Source organism: Homo sapiens, chromosome 1, assembly GCF_000001405.40.
Source record: "Homo sapiens chromosome 1, GRCh38.p14 Primary Assembly".
Taxonomy (NCBI): Eukaryota; Metazoa; Chordata; class Mammalia; order Primates; family Hominidae; genus Homo; species Homo sapiens.
In genome coordinates this window covers 48,881,971-48,904,607 of record NC_000001.11, presented here as the reverse complement: position 1 = coordinate 48,904,607, position 22,637 = coordinate 48,881,971, and the positions used below count along the sequence as shown (strand labels likewise).

The 22,637-nt window shown below is 41.2% G+C and overlaps 1 protein-coding gene across 10 annotated transcripts in view, besides 1 other annotated feature; it reads left to right on the top strand.

Annotated features, from left to right (window-relative positions):
- The window catches only part of AGBL4 (AGBL carboxypeptidase 4), a 1,501,444-nt gene that overhangs the window by 1,119,347 nt on the left and 359,460 nt on the right, over positions 1 to 22,637 (top strand). The gene's annotated exons all lie outside the window — the stretch shown is intronic.
- Positions 11,663 to 12,355: an enhancer, noted in NCBI's record as "OCT4-NANOG hESC enhancer chr1:49357925-49358617 (GRCh37/hg19 assembly coordinates)". NCBI's record gives its function as "activates a minimal SCP1, AML or CMV promoter by ChIP-STARR-seq in naive H9 embryonic stem cells {active_cell/tissue: H9 hESC(naive)}" and the evidence as "EXISTENCE:reporter gene assay evidence [ECO:0000049][PMID:30033119]".

The window sequence follows — 22,637 nt, the reverse complement described above, 5'->3', positions numbered from 1 at the left end:
ATTAGCTCAAGTTTACACAACCAAGAATTTGTTGAGCTCGTATTTGAATAGAGACAGACAGCTCTGAAACTTTATTCTTAACCTTTACTCTAAACTGCCTTCTGAAGACACAGGCCATGCATCTCAGAAACTTGTCTTAAACTGTCAAATAAACATTTGACATGCTACTCGCTTTATAGTCCATGCTTTAAATACAAACACTAGACTTTGAGCAATGACAGCAACCCATGGCCATGCATGTTTCAGCACAACCATAGTTGTTTCTTTCATAGATAAGTTAACTAATTAGCCAAGCAGTAATTGAGATCATTTTATTGTATTATTATTTTCCTTGAGATGGAGTCTCTCTCACCCAGGCTGGAGTGCAATGGCGTGATCTTGGCTCACTGCAACCTCTGCCTCCCAGGTTCAAATGATTCTCCTGCCTCAACCTCCCGAGTAGCTGGGATTACAGGCGCCCACCACTACACCCAGTTAATTTTTGTATATTTATTAGAGATGGGATTCCACCATGTTGGTCAGGCTGGTCTCGAACTCCTAACCTCAGGTGATCCACCCACGTTAGCCTCCCAAAGTGCTGGGATTGCAGCTGTGAGCCACCATGCCTGGCCGAGATCATTTTATTAATGCTGCAGGTTTTCTTTCAGGTGTTTAGCTTTTCTTCATCTACAGTTTACTCTTCTTCACCTTCCTGTCACTTGCTCCATCCTAATCTCAGAAGCATGAGGTTATTAAAGGAAAAAGCACCTTAAACATTATTTTACAGATGGGGAAACCAAGAATCAGGGAATGAGAATTTACACACAGGCAAGGAGGTGGGAACAACTTGTTTGGTGACACATTTGGAGCTACCTGAGGCCAGTGACTATATCTCACCTGTCTTTATCTCCCCAATGCCTAGCACAGGTTTGACTCCATAGAGTCAAACAATGTGTGAGGAAGGAAGGAACTCTGGCACTAGGTGAGGCATGAAAGACAAGGAGTGTCCAGTGCATGCCTCTAGTGGTAGGAGAAGTGCTGAACAAGAGACCAAACCCTGACAACATCACTGAAGCCATCACCTGGTGTCCAAATCCTGTTAAGAGTCTCCCATTGAGCTGAGCCAGTAATCTACAAGATAAAGTAGGGAGCTCTCAGTGGATAGGCAGATCCCAGGGACTGGGGAGTCAGGCCAAGTCTACAAGCAAATAGCTGATTAGAACTGTCAACATTACACATAGGAAGCAAAGCCTGAGGCTCAAAGCTGAGGCTGTCATGCCTTCCACAGATATCCCTCAGGCACCGACTCTGCACTTGAACCTCACTTAATCTGGATAGGACTCAGATTCTGGGAGGGTTCCAGGAGAAACAAACAGATTACCAGACTTGGAGGCGAGATTAAAGGAGATCTGTATAGAGATGAAAGAGAAAAAGGTCCAAGAACAGAGACCAAATCAGAGTTGCAGACAAATTCCAATTAGAGAAATATTTGCTCTGATAAAAGGATCCACAAAATGCTGAAAGAGCACAAACTAAGCCTTGAGCACCGGATGACATTATAAGAAGCAAGTTTGGGGCAAATGAAATCAATTTATGCACAGGCAAGGAGGTGAGAAGATCCAAGAAGCTACAAGCAATTCATTATATCTGGAGCTAAGTCCAGGTGTTGGCAGGCAGAGCCAGAGGACTGCAGAAGATGAGAGGGGCCAAGTCTTAGAAGGCCTCACAAGTGCCAGGCTAAGGATCTTGAACATCATCCTGAGGGCAATGGGGAGTTATGGGAAGGAATTTAGAATGAGAGTGAAATGGCCAGACAGGGCATTTAGGAAGTTTACTGCAGTCTCTAGTGTAAGGTTCAATTGCCAAAGGCAAATCTAGATATGAGAAGATTAGGGAAGAAGCTTTGTACCAATGCAAGCAAAAGATGATACCATCTAAACCAGGGATGTGATAATGGGGATATGGAGGGGATGAATGTGAAAAAGGAGATGAGGGCTTCCTTCTGTATTCCTTGAATACTGAATAAATTTCACTATGGCACAGAGTAGGCAGTCCAAAAATCTAGATTTCATCCTTTAGCCCTCACTCGTCACCACTGCACTCCTCTCTTTCCAATCCACCACCAGTTCTTTCCTTCTTAACCACTAAATACTTTGGATCCTTCTACTTCTCAGCATCTCCACTGCTTTTCTTCTCTTCTAGATTATCAACATCAGACTCCTGGACTTTTATTATAGTCTTCTAACTGTTCATTGTAAACTCACTTGTGCCTTCCCTCCCACTACCACCATATAGTCCCTATTCATTTTCCTCATAACATCTAGTTTATGGTTTTTTATTTTAAAAAAATTAATTGAGATATAATTAATATACAATAAAATGCACATATTTAAACTGTACAATTTGATACATTTTGGCATATGTATACACTGAAGAAACTATCTGATATGGTTTGGCTGTGTCCCCACCCAAATCTCAGCTTGAATTTCCAAGTGTTGTGGGAGGGACCTGGTGGGAGGTAATTGAATTATGGGGGCAGGTCTTTCCTGTGCTGTTCTCATGATAGTGAACAAGTCTCATGAGATCTGATGATTATATAATGGGGAGTTTCCCTGCACAGGCTCTCGTCTCTTGTCTGCTGCCATGTAAGACGTGCCCTTCACCTTCCGCCATGATTGTGAGGCCTCCCCAGCCATGTGGAACTGTAAGCCCAACAAACTTCTTTCTTTTGTAAATTGCCCAGTCTCAGGTGTGTCTTTATCAGCAGCATAAAAATGGATCAATACACTATTACCACAATCAAATTATAAACAATATACCACCCTCAAACTTTTCCTTGTGCCCCTATGTAATCTCTTCTTCTCACTCCCTCCCCTATTCCCACTCATCCCCACATAACCACAAGCTCTTCTTTCTGTCACTATAGTTTGCATTTTCTAGATTTTACATAAACAGAATTATACAGCATTTTCTAAAATTTTATAAAAATGGAATTATACAATATGTATGCTTTTTGTCAGGCTTCTTTTACTCAGAATAATCATTCTGAGATTCATCCATGTTGTGTGCATCAGTGGGTCATTCGTTTTTATTGTCGAGTAGTATTTTATTGTATAGATATACCACAATTTGCTTATTTCCAGGTTCGAATTGGTGCACATTTGAATTTTCTCCAGGTTTTGACTATTATGAATAAAGCTACTTTTAACACCCATATACAACTTTTTGCAAGGACATATACTTTAATTTCTCTTGGAAAAATACCCAGGAGTGGAATGTCTGGATCATATGATAGTTTACATATAATATTTTAAGATATTGCCAAACTTCATTCCAAGGTGGCTGTGCTATTTTATATTCCCAACAGTAGTGTATGACAATTCCAGTTCCTTCATTCCTTACCAACACTTGGTATGGGCAGTCTTAATTTTATCCATTCTAATAGTTGTCTAGTGATATCTCATTGTGGTTTTAATTTGCATTTTCCTAATGACTAATGATATTGAGCCTTTCTTATGTGCTTATTTACCATCTATACATCTCCTTCAGTAAAGCATCTGTTCAGATCTTTTGCCCGCTTTTACTAAAATTAGGTTGCTTTTTTTATTATTTCATTTTAGAGTTTTTATATACATATTCTAGATTCAAGCCCTTTATCAGATATATTATTTGCAAATATTTTCTCCTAATCTATGGTTTGTCTTTTAATTCTCTTAACAGTTCTTTCAATTAGAAGTTTTGAAATTTTGATCAATTTGCTCTTTTATGGATCATGCTTTTGGTGTTGTCTCTAAGAAATCTTTCCCTAATCTAAGGTTATGAAGGTCTTCTCCTATGTTTTCTTCCAGAATTTTAGAGTTTCAGGTTTTACATTTAGGACTATGTGCCATTTTGAATGAATTTACATATGTGGTGTGAGGTATGGATCAAAATTCTTATTTTCCCCCATATGGATAACCAATTGTTTCAGTTCCATTTGTTGAAAAAACTGTTTTTTTCTCCACTGAATTGCTTTCAAATCTTTGTTGAAAACTGGTTGTCTATATATGTGTGGGTCTATTTCTGGACTCTGTTCTGTTTTATGGATCTAATTATGCTAAAACCAAACCACACTGTCTTGATTACTGTAGGTTTATAATAAGTCTTTAAATCAGGTAGTGTCAGTACATCAACTTTGTTCTTTCTCAAAGTTATTTTGGGTATTCTAGGTCCTTTGCATTTTCATATGAATTTCAGAATTAGTATGACATTTTTATAACAAAGCCTGCTAGGATTTAGTGGATTTTTTGCAATACAAATCTGATCATGCCCATCCTCTTTTAAAAATTCTTTAATGGCTTCTCTCATGCTTAGAATAATTTGTTTCCCAGCTTATATTCCCTGGCCTAGAAGGCTGTGTGGGGTCTGCACCCTTCTCTCCTCTCTAGCCTCATCTTTCTTGGTCCCCATCTCTATACTCCAGACACTCTGGTCTCTCAATTCCTTGAATATGCCATTGCTCCCTTTTACCTCAGAGCCTTAATACAAGCTGTCCTCTCTGACTGGAGCACTCCAACCCCACCCCACTCACATCCCTTTGCCTTCATAACTCCAAATGCCCCTCAGCTCAAATGTTTCCTCCTCATGGAAATCTTTTCTGACCCCACCCCAGCCCCTAATTATATCAGATATTCCTGTTAAATATTTCCTAGCTCCCAATATTTATTTCTTCATGATACTTATTAAAGGGTGAAATCATATACATGAATATTTGATTATTTTAAAAAGTCTTTCTTCCCGTAATAAACTGTAAATGCTAGATGAAGGCAGAATCTGTGTCTGTTTTCTTAACTTTGTATTCCACCTAGCAAAGAGCTTGGGACATAGTAGATGCTCAATAAATATTTGTTAAATGAATGAAAGAATAAAGTTGAATTTTTGGAATGCTCGTCATTTTGTTTCATATCAGTGTGGATCTAGGACTTGTAGCAGGCCTGAGTTGATGCATAAGAAGAACAGGAAAGAAAAGATTAAGCCAAGTGAGGCCAGATCCAGGTTTCTCTACTCCCATCCAAAGACTCACCCAGCTACCTCATATGGAGCCTGGTATCTTGAGAAAATCTCTCTTGAATGAGACATTTGTTTGCAACAATTTATGCATTTCCACTCAATTTCTCTTTGCTGCCTGGAAATGCGGCTTAGAGGAGAAGCTGAGAAAAAAAAAAAAACTATTAACTTATTGTTTGAGAATTTCATTTTTCCTTTTTTATTCAAGCAACTGTTTAGCATAAGATAACCATCCTTTGCTTCATTTCATTTTCCACTAGTTTGAAATGAGGCAAGAGAAGTTGGACAGGCCTAGAACCTATGGCCTTGTGATCATGTTAGAAAATAAAATTATAGGCCCTCGCCCGCACAGGTGTGGCGCCCGCCCGCCCCGCGGCACTGAGCCGCCTGCCCACGGCTACACGCCAGGCGTCACTCGGGCTGGCGCCGTTCTACCTGGGCAGGTGTGGGGCCTGTCGGGGGCTTCACGACGGTGCGGAAGGCCAGCCTGCAGGGAGGCTGAGCCGAGCGCCTCAGGCCCAGCGACGTGGCTGACCCAGCCCCGCCACGTCCAAGGTTCCCGCCCTCTGGAGGAAGCAGCGCAATCACTCTGGGGTCGGGGAGAGACAGATAGCTGAGAGTAAGGAGGTACCATGGGCGCTCCCTCGTGAGAGGACCTTAGAGCCGCCTTTGACGGGGGGCGTGTACCTGGAGAGCGACGCTCTTGACAAAATTCTCAGGGAAAACTCTTCAGCTCTGGATGTCTCTCCCTTTTTGTGGATCAAACACAAAGGGCATCATTCTAAAATATATATGGAACCGTAAAAGCCCCAAATAGCCAAAGCAACCCTGAGCAAAAAGAACAAGGCTGGAAGCATCACACTACCAGACTTCAAAATTTACTACAAAGCTCTAATACCTAAAACAACATGGTACTGGCATAAAAAAAAAATAAGCACATAGACCAATGAAACAGAATAGAGAATCCGGATATACCAACTCATCTTTAACAAAGGTGCCAAGAACATACAATGAGGAAAGGATGGTCTTTTCAATAAATGGTGTGGGGAAAGCTAGATAACTATATGCAGAAGAATGAAACAAGATTCCTCTCTCTCACCATACACAAAAATCAAATCAAAATGGATTAAAGGCTTAAATCTAAGACCTGAAACTATGAAACTAGAAGAACACACTGGGGAAGTGCTCCAGGACCTTGGTCTGGGCAAAAGATTTTCTTTGTATAAGACCTCAAAAGCACAGACAACAAAGCAAAAACAGACAAATGAGATTACATTAAGCTAAAAAGTTTCTGCACAGCAAAGGAAACACTCAACATAGTGGGAGAGACAACCCACAGAATGGGAGAAAACATTTTTAAACTATCCATCCGACAAGGGATTAATGACCAGAACAAAGAGACTAAACAATTTAAGCCAAAAACAAAACAAACAAACAAAAAAACAAAAGCCAAATAATCAAAAAAGTGGGCAGTCTGGGTGGGGTGGCTCACACCTATAATCCCAGCACTTTGGGAGGCCAAGGCAGGCAGATCATGAGGTCAAGAGATCGAGACCATCCTGGCCAACATGGTGAAACCCCATCTCTACTAAAAATACAAAAAAAATTAGCCGGGTATGGTGGCATGTGCCTGTAGTCCCAGCTAGTCGGGAGGCTGAGGCAGGAGAATCGCTTGAACCCAGGAGGCAGAGGTTGCAGTGAACCGAGATCGTGCCACTGCACTCCGGCCTGGTGACAGAGCGAGACTCCGTCTTAAAAAAAAAAAAAAAAAAAAAAGTGGGCAAAAGATCCGAACAGACATTTCTTAAAGGAAGACATAAAAATGGCCAACAGGTATATGAAAAAATGCTCAACATTACTAATCATTAGAGAAATGCAAATTAAAACAACATGTTATTTCACCCCAGTTAAAATGGCTTGTATTAAAAAAACAGATAATAACAGATGCAAGTGAGGATGTGGAGAAAAGAGAACCCTCATACACTGTTGGTAGAAATGTAAACTAGTACAACCACTATGAAGAACAGTATGGAGGTTCTTCAAAAAACTAAAAATAGAATTAACATATGATCTAGCAATTCCACTACTGAATACGTATCCAAAAGAAAGGAAATCTGTATATCAAAAAGATATCTGTACTCCCATGTTTATTGCAGCATTGTTCACAATAGCCAAGATACGGAATCAACCTAAGTGCCCATCAATGGATGAATGGATAAAGTGTGGTACATATGCACAATGAAATATTAATCGGCCATAAAAAATAATGAAACCCTCTCATTTGCAGCAACATGGATGATACTGGAGACCACTATGTTAAATAAGCCAAGTACATAAAGACAAATATTGCATGTTGTCGGTCATACATGGGAGCTAAAAATGTGGATTTCATGATGACACAGAGTACATTGGTGGTTACCAGAGGCCAGAAAGGAGGGGATGGAGTAGGGGATGAAGGGGGAAAAAGGATATAAGTGTATTTATTACCACTGAACTGAACACTTAAAATGGTAAAGATGATATGTTATACATTACCTCAGTCTGCAAAAGAAAAAACAAATGGCATCAATGTTAATAAGTGTAAAAGTTGTACTAGGGATAAATCTGCCATTTAAAAGGCAAATTAGAAATCTGAAATAACAAGTGCACTTAGCCTGTGAAACCCTTGAAGACCCCAAAAGTCTCATTCAGAACTAGTCCCAAAAAGAATACGTACTTTTGTATCATTGTCTAATTAAAGCTGCTTTTTTTCAAGTATTAGTTTGCTTCAAAATAAATCTTTTTATTTGTACTAGTAAAAAAAAAGAAAGAAAGGAAAATTATATTCTCTACCTTTTGGACTAGGCAGAGGTATCTCAGAAAAGAATCATTTCATGCTGGCAGCCTGAGGTAGCACCACACCTGCTTCTCCTACCTACTCCCCATTGCATCCCCTGCCTCCATGAGCCAAAAGCCCAAGAGTGAAATCTCAGGTCTGAGTTCTGGCTGTGCAGCCATTATTAAATGTCTTCACCTCTCTGGGCTTCTCGTGTCTTGTAAAATCAGAGTGGAAGTTGCTTCTTCTGTAGCCATCTTCCAGAATTGTTGTGAAACTTAATAAGATTATAATTAAGCTACATAGGCCAGCTATGATGTGCCAGAAGCCATTCTGATCACTTTGTAGATGTGAATTCTAATCACAGCAGCCTTCTCAGGTAGGTATTAGTTTTCTTGTTTTATGAACAGGAAACTGAAGCTCGAGAAGAGAAGACAAATTCCCAAAATTGTGAAGGTTCCTCAATGCCAGACTTAGAGCTTAGACTTTGTCCAAAGGACAATGTGAGAGGAGTTAAACAGGGAAATGGCAAGGTGAGATCTGAGTTTTAAAAAGAACTTGCAGATACCTGTGTGGAATATGATTTAGAGGGGGAGTACCTAGGGGCCTGGAAAATGAAAGGAGATGTTTAATAATAGCAGGGTGCTTTGCCATTTTCAAAGCACTTTTATATCCTTTTTTATTATGTGAGTGTCACAAGAACCCTGTGAAGTAGGGAGAAAGGCATTATTATTGCCATCGCCATTTTTGAATGGCAACCTGCAAATAGCATAAACACTTAGTTCCAATACTACACAGCTTTGTTCCAATATCACATAGTAAAACCGGTCCCAAATGTAGAACTCTAGACTTTTGGTACATTTTCTTTCATAGCATTCTTCAATGGCTTGCAGACAGAAAGCTAGTTGCACTGCCACTGCCCATGTAACATTGTCAAGTCCTTTGCCTTCTCTTATCCTCCACACCCCAACTGTAAAATTAAATGATCAGAATGGATGAGCTCTTCTGAGTCCTACCAGTCTACCTTCCTGATATGCTCGAGTCTCTTTCAGGGTCTCCAGTGGGACCTACCATCTGAGCTAGATGAAGGGAACAAGGTAGGGAGTGATAAGCTCCAGTTGGCCAATAAAGGAAGCTAGAATGGGATAGCTTGGTTACAAAAGACTAAAATCAACTCGCTTGATTGATTATGAATTTTAAGCAGTTTTTCTTCAGTGCAATCAGCTCTCTGCCATCGTCATCGCTCATTAGGGAAAGATTTCCATTCCAGAAATGATTGAGGATGTTTCCCAGCATTTGCATTTTGCATTCTACATGCTAAGCACCTTGCTGTCAGAATTATAAGCTGTCTCTCCTTGCCAGGCCTCTGCCTCTCATTTCCTGCCAGTCCTGGGTCCCTTGCTGGGATGGTGAGAAGTGACCCCAGAGGAAAGTGCAGGAAGATCATGGCCATGTTGACCACTGGCTGGCCCATGCCTGACGGTCAACAAGCCGACCTCTGACAGGATGATAGAAGGGGGCTCTTTCTCTCCTCTTCTAATTGGCCTTTATGAATATTTAATGAAATCAAGATGGAATTCAATCAGGAACTTTACCTGCTGCATTTTCAGGAGAAGGAAGAAGAAAAAGAAATGGTGGGATATTATTAGATTCCTCTAACCACAGAACAGAGGGAACATGCCCTAAAATCCCTCTGATACTCAGGTGCCTTAGCAGCGTTAACTGCCCAGGTACGTCTGCTAAGTCCAAGGAAATTAACCCTTTTAACTAGTGAAACACTGCCAATTTGACTTACCAAATAGGTGGATGAACTTTGTCTAGAGAGGTAAAGGCTAATATGATGAAGCATAAATTCAAACTAAAGATGCTGTCTTAGAAATATCTTTTTAGGAAATCCTGTCTCCCTACGTACTGGAAACCTCTTTGTTTTGAAATATAAATTCTTTTTTTCTTCTCATTAAATTCATCCTTTGTTCATTGTAGCAAATTATAAATATTAAAAATCAAACTTAAAATTTGCCTGTAATCCTATCCAGAAATAATGGAGATTCATGTTTTCATATTTATTTATCTACCCACTCTAACCAGTAAATGTATCTACATGTCACACACTAAGTTACATGTATAATCAACCTTTTTTTTTTACTATATACTACATCATCAGATATTAACCTACAACATGACATGTGACAAGTGACCCTGGAGGAGAGTGCTTATATAATGGCTTATTGTATTTTATTGTATTAATGCACATAATGTATTTAACCAATTCCCAATCATTAGCATTTCCATTTGGGGCCCCTGAAGATGACTTTCTGACTTTATACAGAAGGTATGGTATAAGAGATGTTTTAGAATCAAATAGATGTGGATTCCAACCCAAGTTCTTAACATTATTAACTGTGTGTACTTGAGAAAATTAATTAACCTGAGTATCAGTTTTTTCATCTTAGATGAAAGGTTGTTTTGAGGATTAAATGAGAATGTATGCAAAGCACCTAGGACAATGTCTGACATAAAGTAAATTTCAGTTTATGTAACTATTGTCTTTCTTAATGTGCTTTGATAAACTTCCTTATAGCTAAATCTTCATCATTTCAGCTAATTAACCATTAAGCTAATTTCCTAACAGTAGAATTACTGGGTCAAAGGGTTTGCACATTTTGAAGTCGACTAATACTTTCAAAAGCTACGGAAGTATTTTTTCCTCAAACCAGCCTCCTGATGTTGGCCAACATTTGCGACTCTGGTGGCCAGTACATGATGAAAGCTTAAGCAGGTTCCTTCTCCTCTTGCTCCTTGGTTTCCTCATTATACAATTAGATGATTTTCTTAGTCAGTCCAGGCTGCCATAACAAAGTACCATAAACTGGGTGGCTTGTAGACAATGGAACTTTTTTCTTATAGTACTAGAGGCTGAAAGACTGAGATCGTAGTGTTAGCATGGTTGGGTTCTGCTGAGGGCCCTCTCTCAGGTTGCAGACTACTGGCTTCTTGTAGCCTCGCATGGTAGAAATGGTAGAAAGAGAGCTACCCAGCTCTCTGGAGTCTTTTTTATCTTTTTATTTATTTATTTATTTTTTGAGACAGAGTCTCACTCTGTTGCCCAGGCTGGAGTGCAGTGGCGCCATCTCGGCTCACTGCAAGCTCCGCCTCTCAGGTCCACACCATTCTCCTGCCTCAGCCTCCCGAGTAGCTGGGACTACAGGAGCCCACCACCATGCCCAGCTAATTTTTTTTTTGTATTTTTAGTAGAGACGGGGTTTCACTGTGTTAGCCATGATGGTCTCAATCTCCTGACCTCGTGATCTGCCCATCTCAGCCTCCCAAAGTGCTGGGATTACAGGCATGAGCCACCACGCCCGGCCTGGAGTCTTTTTTATAAGGGCACTAATCTCATTCATAAGGGCTCCACCCTCATGACCTCATTACTTCCCCAAAGCCCCACTTCCTAAGACCGTCACATTGCAGGGTAGGAGTTCAACACATAAATTGAGGGGGAACACAAACATTCAGTCCATAACAGGGACTGGGTACATTTTAGGTTGGTAGATTCTCTCCTCTACCTCCAGCTCCTCTGTCATGGTCCAAACCACCCATTGGTACAGGCAGGTCTAAAGTCAGCTGAGCAGCCCCAGCTGTCAGGCAAGTATGTGTTTATTTAGTGTATACTTCGATTTTTGTAGGGGTGTTCTCATGGATATTCAGCAGTGTACAGTAGATAAGTGCACTCCAGAAGGTTTCTCCTTTCTGTCTGTGTATATGCAGGTGTGTGTATTTTGAAGGGGTGTATTCTGAGTCTAACTGTATTCCCCTAAAAGATATATTAAAGTCTGAACCCCTGGTACCTGTGTATGCGACCTTATTTAGAAAGATGGTCTAACCAGAAACTCATTTTCTTTTAAAATGCTTTCTCCAAAAGATTTTAAAAAAGAAAAGGGGGGGAATGGTTAGAGGAAAATATCCTGGGCCCCCAAATCACTAAGCAAAAGGGAAAATTCAAGCTGGGAACTGCTTAGGGCAAACCTGCCTCCCATTCTATTCAAAGTCATCCCTCTGCTCACTGAGATAAATGTGTATCTAATTGCCTGCTTTGGAAAGGCTAATCAGAAACTCAAAAGAATGCAACTGTTTGTCTCTCACCTACCTGTGCCCTGAAGCCCCCTCCCCGCTTCAAGTGTTGCCCCGCTTTTACTTCGAGTTGTCCTGCCTTTTCAGACGGAACCAATGTTCATTTTACATATGTTGATTGATGTTTATCATCTCCCTAAAATGTATAAAACCAAGCTGTGCTCTGACCACCTTGGGCACATGTCATCAGGACCCCCTGTGGCTGTGTTACAGGCATGTGTCCTAGGCATGTGTCCTCAACCTTGGCAAAATAAACTTTCTAAATTAAAAAAAAGAAAAAAGAGAAAAGGTCTTTGCAGATGCAATCAAGTGAAGATGTGATTACACTGGATTCGGGTTGGCCCTAAATTCAGTGACTTGTGTCTTTAAAAGAAGGCAATGTGAAGACACAAGGACACAGACAGTCAGAGAGAATGCCATGTGACAACAGAAGCAGAGATGGGAATAATGCTGCCACAAACCAAGGAGCTCCAAAGACTGCCAGCAACCACCAGAAGCTGGAAGAGGCAAAATTATTGCCTCTGAGATTACTCCTTAGAACTTTTGGAGAGAGCATGCCTCTGCACTCTCTGCACTTTAATTTTAGACTTCTAGACTCTAGAGCTGTAATAAAATAAATTTCTATTGTTTTAAGTCACCTAGTTTGTAGTAATTTGTTATGGCAGCCCTAGGAAATAAATACAATGTGTATTCTCATTTTTATTTCTGCTCTTCCCTTTATTAGAACATAAGCTATTAATTCCTAGGGTCATTTCTGGAGACAGCATGGTTTAATGAAAAAAGTTCAGGGTTGGGTGTCTGACCATCCTAGCTAAAGGCCTAGTTCTGCCATTTAATGGTTGTATGAGCTCCATGGGCAGGGAAATCCTCATACTCAGCTGGGAGTAGAGTGAAGTTCCCATGTAGTGCCTGTACTAGGAAATGCTTTCTTCCAGCCACCAAATTTTCTGCCTGACCAGTGAGTTGTCTTAATTAGCCATGCCTATGTGCCTGAACTCTTATCTTATTTGAAAGCAAATCTCTGGGCAGAAGACAAAAGGCAGTAGAGCTGAAACAGGAAGCCGGCCTTTGGTAAGAGGTTCCTAAGATAGCAACAAGCGTTTTAAACTGAAGTGGTCTCTTTATGTGCCCTCCATCAGACTGGGGGCTTCTTGATGCCAGGGACCAGGTTTGATTTATCATTATGACTCCAGCATCTAGTGCCTGGTCCAAAATACGTGCTTAGTGAAAGTTTTTGGAAGAGGGTATTTGGGACTGGGTTCTTGTCATTTTTGACTCTGTTGTTTCTGTTCCTTGAGTTCAGCTTTTTTCTGATTCTTTGCTTGTGCTTTTTAGCACAAGCTAAAAAGTCTTGACCTGATTCCTAGACCTTTACTGACTCCTGTGACCTGATCCACACTATGATTTTTATTTACTCAAAAACATTTAGTGACTTAATTAATAATAATGATATCTGCCTGTTAGGGAGCATTTCTTCATGGCAGGCTACTGTAATGGGTATGAATCTTGTTCTACAAACTCAGTAATGTAAGAAATGTATTTCTTTTTAGTTAAAAGCATTTAAATTAAATTTGTAGCCCACATCCTACTGGACTGATCAGTAAATTGAGTCTCTGCCATTTCTGTGGCTCCCCAACACTACACTTCGCCACGATCCCAGGATCTTATGCAGCATCAAAGTATCAGAAGCATTTGGGGTAGTATCTCTGTCTCTCTGATTATTGATTATTGGTTCCGATCAGTTCTCACCAACACGACCATTTCCTTCACCCTCATGTTCCTGCACTTCTGCGTTCATTCATTACTATGGGCATAACGATCTTTGATGAATCTGCCAGACTGCAAGTATCCATGAAATACCAACCTGAGCTCACCCTGGGATGCTGCCACAGAATAGAGTACGGGTAACAGACTTACCAACCTTCATTCCCTTCTCTATTTGGGAAATAACCCCCAGCATCTTCACCCAAAATCCATTCTTCCTGGCTCCTTCTTTTCCCCTCAAGGACATCCACAATCCACAGTCTCTTCAGTGGACATTGGACATCACAAAAACACAAGAATATCACTGACTCCAAGGAGCTTCTGACTGCCTCTCCTTCAGAAACCCCTAGGGGAAACAAAGACTAGTAGCCTAGCTATTGCTTGGAGCAAGAGAGAAAGGAAAAATGCAAGAATATATACATAGATTCTTACTCCAATAAATTATCTGACTGTACTAGTACCCTTTAAAGTAATATAATATTTAATCCTCACCACAATCCTGCAAAGGTAGGAATTTTTACACATGTGAAAGCTAAGACTCAGATAAAGGTTTTACAAGTAGCAAAGAGAGTTCTGAGAGATGACACAAGTTGAAGCTTGGAGGCTAAACCACTGCATCTCTACCATAGGTATTCTGGGTATGGAGAGGGGGACCTCCTTGGTAGTCTTGAGGTATGGGTAAACCTGCGTGAGAGACAGGGTGAAAGGAGGCCAAGGCACTGGTGGGAAGGAAAGCAGGAGTGAAACCTGCCTGTCTGTGGGTGATTCTGCTTCTAGCCCTGTGTTCCAGTGTTACAACCCAGCTCTGTCAATAGGCAAATACCTGTATACCATAGGTACACACCTGCTAAATGCACACACACACACACACACACACACACACGCAAGCAGGCTGTGATCTTGAGTGTTAGGATCACTGGATCCAGAAGAGTTTCCCATTTTAGCCTCATGTTGTTCTCAGAAGTTCTCTGCCATCCTCCCCGTCCCAGTCCCAAACTCGGAGGAAATTCCTCCCAATTCAAGACCCTGGGTAATTGACATGAGAAAGGGCCTCTGGTTACAGTTGCCTGCTATAGGGGATTCAACTGTGCTCTGAATCTGGAAGCCTAGATTTGAGTCCTTGCCCTGCAGGTCCTTCCTTTGTTTTATAGAATGAAGGAGTTCAGCTGTTAACCTTGGAGGCCTTTCCATGTCCTGTATAGATTTATGAAATACTTAGTCTGGACCCTAAATCTGACACATTTCATAACTTCCCACTAACTCCCTTCCAGTGTCATAGACACACAGTGTAATGAGACAGTCCGAAAGCCTTATAAGATCTTCCTGACTTGCACAGTCTCATAGCTTATGTACAATTTATTTTTCTTAGTTTTAATCCAAATATAGTTTCTAATATTTTCTAATAAGCTCTGGCCTATCTTTCTCACTCAGTTTATTGCTATCAGAATTCTTCCTCCTGTCTATACCCCTCCCTTCCAACATTTCCCTACCTTTTTTTTGCTTTCTTCCTGCTGGCAATAATTATAAGTTGTGAAGCCCACAAAAAAGCGGATATTAAATAGACTGTATATGATTAGAGATAATGTCACAGGCGTGCGTCCGAAACCTGCCATCTGGCTAATGTGTGTTTTCCTTTCTGTGACACTGAACACAGTCATTGTGCCTTGGAGGGGCAGGGCATTGGTAGTGATGTTAAAAGTGTTTACATTTAAAGAATGCTTTTCTTTGTGCTGTGGGTCTTTCCCAAGCACTACCTTCTTGCTATGAGCCTAAGGTTGACAGCTCACATTTCTAAGATTCCTGATGGCATGAACTTTACATGTGGATCCTTCTCTTTGGCTCCTTTAGCTTCTTTGTTGAAAGTTGGAGGGTCTGGAAATAAACTAGGCTTTCTGCCTGCATTGGGAGTGTTGCCCTGAGGCTGAGACCAAATTCTTTAAAAGAAAGGCGACCAAACAAAGGTGCAGATGCCTCTGTTGTTATAAAAACAAATGTAATTTTATTATTTTCATAGATATTTATTCGATGCCTACTATGCGCCAGGCACCATTTGGGTTCTGGGGATAGACTAAGGAACAAAGCATACACAACTCCCTACCTGCATTGAGCTTGTATTCCAAAATGCAGAAGCATACTGTATTAGCCTGTTCTCACATTGCTATAAAGAACTAACTGACCCTGGTATTTATAATGAAAATAAGGTTAATGGATTCACGATTCCATAAGCTGTACAGGAGGCATGGCTGCAGATTCCTCAGGAAACTTGCAATCAATCATGGCAGAAGGTGTAGGGGAAGCAGGCAGTTTGCACCATTCTGGGAAAGGCCTTCCTTGGATGTCAGGTTAAGAAGCTTGGACAGTAAAGTCTTTAAAGACCTTAAGTAGGGTTGTGCCTCTAACTGAACATAGTTTGAGCAAAGGTGGGCTTGGGTGGGGCAGGCTATGGCGCAGAGGAAGTGGGTGAAAGGGGCAGAACTCCTCTAACGGACAGAAGGATAGTGCGGTTTTGAGGCAGAAGGATACCCAGAGCTGGATGTGCAGATTCTGCCTTGGCTTTTCTCCCTGGGTCAGAAAGTAGCTCCCCATTGACATGCAGAAAGCACTGCCCGCCTTAGTGCTTTTAATAAAAATGGAAAATATGGGTTTGTATGATGCTTTTAATCATTTTGGAATTGTAAAGACCTCTGGGCTTTGGGGGCCAGGACAGCCCTGGTGTGAACATAAATTAGCCTAACTGAGTTGCTTGTGCTGTTTATGGGAACTATTTGCTGTAAATTTGGTTCTGATGCTAGAACTGTGTGTCATCCTCACAGCCCTCAGCCTCAGCATGCCTCTTTCTGAAAACTGCAAGGGTTGCTTTTGGCTTTGGCTTCCAATTAAGAGGGCCATGAACTCCAAGAGGAATTAGAAAAATCCCAGTCTGATCATTAATTTGCTCATTCATTCTACAAACAGAGACTGATCATCTACCCTGTGCCAGGCCCTTTGCCAGATTCTAGGAACACAGAGAGGAGATAGGTCCTCAAGGAGCACACAGTTACAGATACTGGTGATTTCAACAAAAATAGGGCCAAAATGTAGTGGTCATTTCTACCTAGAGGATCAGGAGACTTTTGACAAGGCCTGTGGCTTGTCTCCTGGGAAATGTGTGGCTTTGGCCTGCTTGCTCGGATCTTGAAAAGCAAAGTAGGACATCAGTAAGAGTTTAGGCCAAGGGTGTTAGGTAGACCCAAGGCAAAATACTGACTCTGCCTCATTGCTAGCTGTGTGATCTTCAGAGGGACGTCTATTCTCTCTGAGCCTCAATTCCCCCCTATAAAAGGGGGTTTATAATGCTTCTCCCATGGGGTTGTTGTGCTAGGAACAAAAATACCTCACACAGCCCTGGGCCATGGTAGACTGCCTCCAAACATTAGTTCCCTCTTACCTGTCATGTGCTTGCCTCTTCGGTGGGAATAAACTGCACTGAGCCTATTCTCACTGTCTACAGCTTCTGACATGGCCAAGGGCACACATCAGTAAGGCCTCCTTCTCCATCACTGTGCCCTTTAGTGGGTTTTAGTTGTCTCAGAAATAAAAGTCAAACTCCTAAGTAGGGCATAGAAAACTCTAGAGTATGCCCTTAGCAAGACCACCTCCTAGACGTCATCTTTTTCCTCTATGCCCTCGTCATACTGGAATATTCACCACACTGCAGATGCACACGTGATTCCCTATCTCTGGGTCTTTGCTCACACAGAAGATTCTGCCAGGGCCCACAAGCCCTCTTTCCCCTTTCTCCACCTTGAGAAATCCAGCCACCCTATAAGAAACAGTCCTGAGTCCTTCTCTTTAGGAAATTTGTCAAGATGCCCCCAGTTAGACTTCACTGCTTTCCTCCATGGGATCCCACAGCACCCTTTTGGCTTCTCACACTTATCTGTTGACCTCATCATCCTGAAACCTCTCTGAATGTCTTGGGAATCAGGGAATGAGACTGGAAGCTAATATGGTGGAGCCAATAAGAATTTGTGGCTGACCGTGGCTGGGCGCGGTGGCTCACACCTGTAATGCCAGCACTTTGGGAGGCCGAGGCGGGCGGATCACGAGGTCTGGAGATCGAGACCATCCTGGTTAACATGGTGAAACTCCTCTCTACTAAAAATACAAAACATTAGCCAGGCGTGGTGGCAGGTGCCTGTAGTCCCAGCTACTCGGGAGGCTGGGGCAGGAGAATAGCGTGCACCCAGGAGGCAGAGCTTGCAGTGAGTGGAGATAGCGCCACTGCACTCCAGCTTGGGCAACAGAGTGAGACTCCACCTCAAAAAAATAATAAATAAAAAATAAAAAACAATTTGTGGCCGGCTGAGCTGCCCAATGATGCTCCCGGAGAAGTGTGACGCCCACAGCAGGTTTTAGAGCATTGTTATTCCCTTTTATTACACTTGAACACTTAAAGAAATACATGTTTTACAGTGACAAAACAATCAGCTCTGGGTCAGGAAGTGGTAGAGCTGGATATCCAGGTACTTTTTCACCATGGCATATTGTCTCAGCCAAAAACATCCTTAATACAACAGCACTTCAGCCTCTAGTGTGTGCTAGGCAGGACCAGCTTTCTACATGCACAACCTGTGCAGTGGAACGGGACCCCCACTCAGAAAGACCCTGCCTTTAGAATTTAATGGTCTGTGGTCGCTGTCTTAAAACTCTCTGGAGTCTCAGCACATGCACAGTTCCACATTCTACCAACTCCCCACCTCCTCAGGCAGGGCTCTTAGCCACCTACTTCCTCACCTGCTGGTGTCCTGAGCCCCACCTGACCTCTCTCTCCCCAAGATGGAAGTGGCAGAGTGGGTTCCATCTTGGGGAGAAAAGGGAAAGGGAGCTCGTGGGTCCTGGCAGAGGCTTCTGCATGAGGAACTCAGCAGTTGTCCACTCTCATCCAGGTATGTAGTTCATCCCAGTGTGATGGTTGCAATACCATTTGGGGTTGCCATCTACAGTAGATTGGGGAAGCCAACCCATGGAAATGGGAGACGTCTGCCTGGACTTCTCTGTCTTTCTTGCTGGCAGAAGCCAAGATGGTGGTATAACCAGCAGCCAGTGGGCCCTGTGCACTTATGCATCTTATCTCAGTGGGGAGCCTCTAGGCACCCATGATGGTCTGCACTCACTTTGCAACTACCCCTATACCCAAGAGAGCACAACATTAAATAAGAGATTAAAAATGCCATGATAGGTCAAGAGAAACAGCAGAAGAAAGGGAAAGGCTTTATATTTTAGTACCTCTAATGCCATTTTTTTCTGCTTTTTGAAAAAGGAACTCTGCATTTTCATTTTGCACAGAGCCCCATAAATTATGTGGCCGGTCTTGGTGTTAGACCCTGTCCTGGGCAACAGGAATATCGATTTAAACATGCATATAACCTCTGCCTTCAAGTTGGCTGTTGGGTCTAAAGTTTGGACTAGATTAGTAGATCAGCAAACTTTTTCTTATAGGGCAATAGAGTAAATATTTTAAACTTTGCAGGTCAAACAATCTCTGCCACAACTACTCACCTCCACCTTTGTGGTACAAAAGTGGGCATAGATGGTATATGAATGAATGAGCGTAACTGTGTTCCAATAAATATTTATGGACATTGCAGTTGGAATTTCACATAATTTCCACATGTCACAAAATATTATTTTCTTGTCTGTTTTGAATCATTTAAAAATATATAAATCATATTTAGCTGTGAGCTAAACAAAACAGGAAACAGACCAGATTTGGCTAGTGTGCAGTTTGCCACCCCTGGACTAGATGATCTCCAGGGGCCTTCCAGCACCCAGTCAAGTAAGTCTTAGAAAGCTGGGTCTTATTCTCCCTTTCTTTTCCCCTGTTGCTTTTTTACCTTTTTTTTTTTTTTTTTAAATCTGCCTCTCTCTCTTTGTCATTCTCAGGTTCTCATTCTTGCTCTCTCTCTTTCTTTCTTTCTCTTTCTCTCTTTTTCTCTCAATCATCCATCTCAGCATGAGGGGCTCTTTCTTCTTTCAACTGGTATAAGCACTGGAGCACTGGAGCCAGTGTTCTTTCTCTGTAGGGAGCCAGCTGCTGAATTCTTGCTTGTCTAAGTAATTATAAAACCACTGAAACAGAGACAAGGAGGATCCAATGTGGTACTCTACTTGCAGAGAAAAAATATTGACATATTTAGGGATATAATATGCAGATGAAGAAAAGCATGTCTTGTCTGCTCCATCTTTATCCACAGACACATCTGTGTAAATGTATTTGTGAACATGATACAAATGCAATATTCAAGGAAGCAATGGACAATTGTCACTGTCTTCCATCTGCCCACATATAGGAGCTGGCTCAGGGAAGAAAAGATTTGACTCAGAGAAACTGTAATTCTTCATAAGAAGAATGCAAATAATTCATAACATTTTGTGATCACCTACTGTGGGCTCATAACTATGAGAAACTTAGAAGTGCAATATAGGAAAAAAAAAAAAAGTCCAGGCTCTCGAACCAGTGAGACTTGGGTTTGAATCCTTGGTCTGGTACTTTTTAGCTTATGCCACCTAAAAACAAAACAAAACAAAAAAACAAACAAACAAAAACAAATTGTAACTCTTAGAGCTTCAGTTTCCTCACCTGTGTGAGAATGGTAATGCCTACAATTCAGGTTTGTAAAAAATACTTACAGATTTGAGCTAAGATACATAAAGTACCAATAACAGGTGCCTGAAAAACAATAGGCATTTATTCAATAGGGGCTGCTGAAAAGCTAGAGCCAGAAAAAGGCAGAGCCATGAGTCAAACCAAGATGTAATTGCAAAGCCCATACTTTGTCCTTTATAGAATGCTTGTAGAGTAGCAGGCTAGGAGCAGGAAGGCCCTCTGAGGGACTGTAGCTGGGAAAACAAAAGCTTAATCAACTATAAATAATGACTTCCTCTTTGTTTTTTGTTTGTTTGTTTGTTTGTTTTTTATAGACCCTCTTTTTATTGTTTATTCCAGCAGTCATCCAAGGAATGCTGGACTGGAATACCCAGCAACTCTAAGTAGCTACAATAAAGGACAATTTAGAAAACCCTGACTTCTTAAGCCACCAGCTATTTACCAACTCTGTAGACTATTTTGATTCTGCTCCTTTATTAATTTATCGAAGTGTATTATTGGGCATCTACTCTGTGCTGTGCACTATGATTCGATGGTGGGGCTACAGTGGTGAATGGGACACAGTTCTCACCTTCAAGGATCTCACAGTCCAGTGAGGAAATAAACAGATAATTATAGAATGATAGCAAAAGTACTATGTTAGGGAGAAATGCAAGCACGGTAAAAAATGGCATCTAAACCAATCCGCAGTGGGGACGGAGAGTCAAAGAAAGCTTACAGATAGAAGTAACGTTGTATCATCTGATAATTTTGGCACCTCATAATTACTTCAGTCTATAAATGAGTAATCTTGTGTCACTAAGATTTGAAAAAGGAGTGGGAGGTAGCTAGGCAAGGAAGGATGTAGCAGGCAAAGGGATCAACATGTAAGAAGACATGGAGGACCACAATGAGACATCACCTGACACCTGTTAGAATGGCTATTAGCACAAAGACAAAAGATAATGAGTATTGGTGAGGATGTGGAGGAAAGGAAACCCTTGTACACTGTTGGTAGGAATGCAAGTTGGCACAGCCATTATAGAAAACAGTATGGAGGTTTCTCAAAAAATTAAAAATAGAACTACCATATGACCCAGCAATTCCATTTCTGGGTGTATACCCAAAGAAAATGAAATCTGTATGTTGAAGAAAAATCTGAACTTTCATATTTATTGCAGCATTATTCACAATAGCTGAGATATGTAATCAACCTAAGTGTCCATCAGCAGATGAATGGATAAAAAATTGTGGTATATATACACAATGAAATACTATTCAGTCTTTAAAAAGAAGGAACTCCTGTCTTTTGTGACAGCATAGATAAACCTGAAGGACATTAATCTAAGTGAAATAAGCCAGGCACAGAAATACAAGTACTATATGATCTCATTTATATGTGGAATCTAAAAAAGTTGAGCTAATAGAAACAGAGAGCAGAACAGTAGTTGCCAGAGGCTGGGGATGGGGGTTGGGGACAGGAACATGTTGGTCATAGGGTACAAATTTTCAGTTAGACAGGAGGGATAAGTTCTGGAGAACCTTTGTACAGCATGGTGACAATAATTTTACTTGAAAATTGCTTAGAGAATATATCGTGAGTGTTCTCACCACAAAAAATAATATGTGAGAGATATGATAATAGCTTAGTTTATCATATCTGTCTCTCACATACTTACTTTTTTTGTGGTAAGGACATTCAAGATATATTCTTAATATATCTCAGGTAGTTCTTTATAGCCATGTGAGAATGGACTAACACACTACATATCATATCATTTAACAACATGAGTGTATTAAAACATATTATACACTGTAAATATATACAATTTTTATTTGTCAATTATACCTTAGTAAAGCTGAGGGAAAAATATTTTAAATAAAAAGTAAATGAAATTTGTTTTAAAAGAAGACATGGAGGAAATAGGAAAGCACTGTATATTGAGGAATAAAGAAGATCAGCCTGCCTAATCAGGAACTTTGACTCACAGGGGAGTGGTGGCAAGCTTGGAGGCTGTACAGACAGACAGGGGCAGCATGATCACATTAGGTAGTGTATTAGTCTGTTTTCACATGACATAAAGACTGAGTAGTATATGACTACCTGAGACTATAAAGACTGGTAGTATATGCCCCTGCCCAAGGGCAGCAAAGCTAGACTCTTGCCCAGGAATTCCAGACTTCAGAGGCAAAATCTCAAACTCCTGACCTCAAGCAATCCTCCCACCTCAGCCTCCCAAAGCACTGGGGTTACAGGCATAAACCACCATGCCC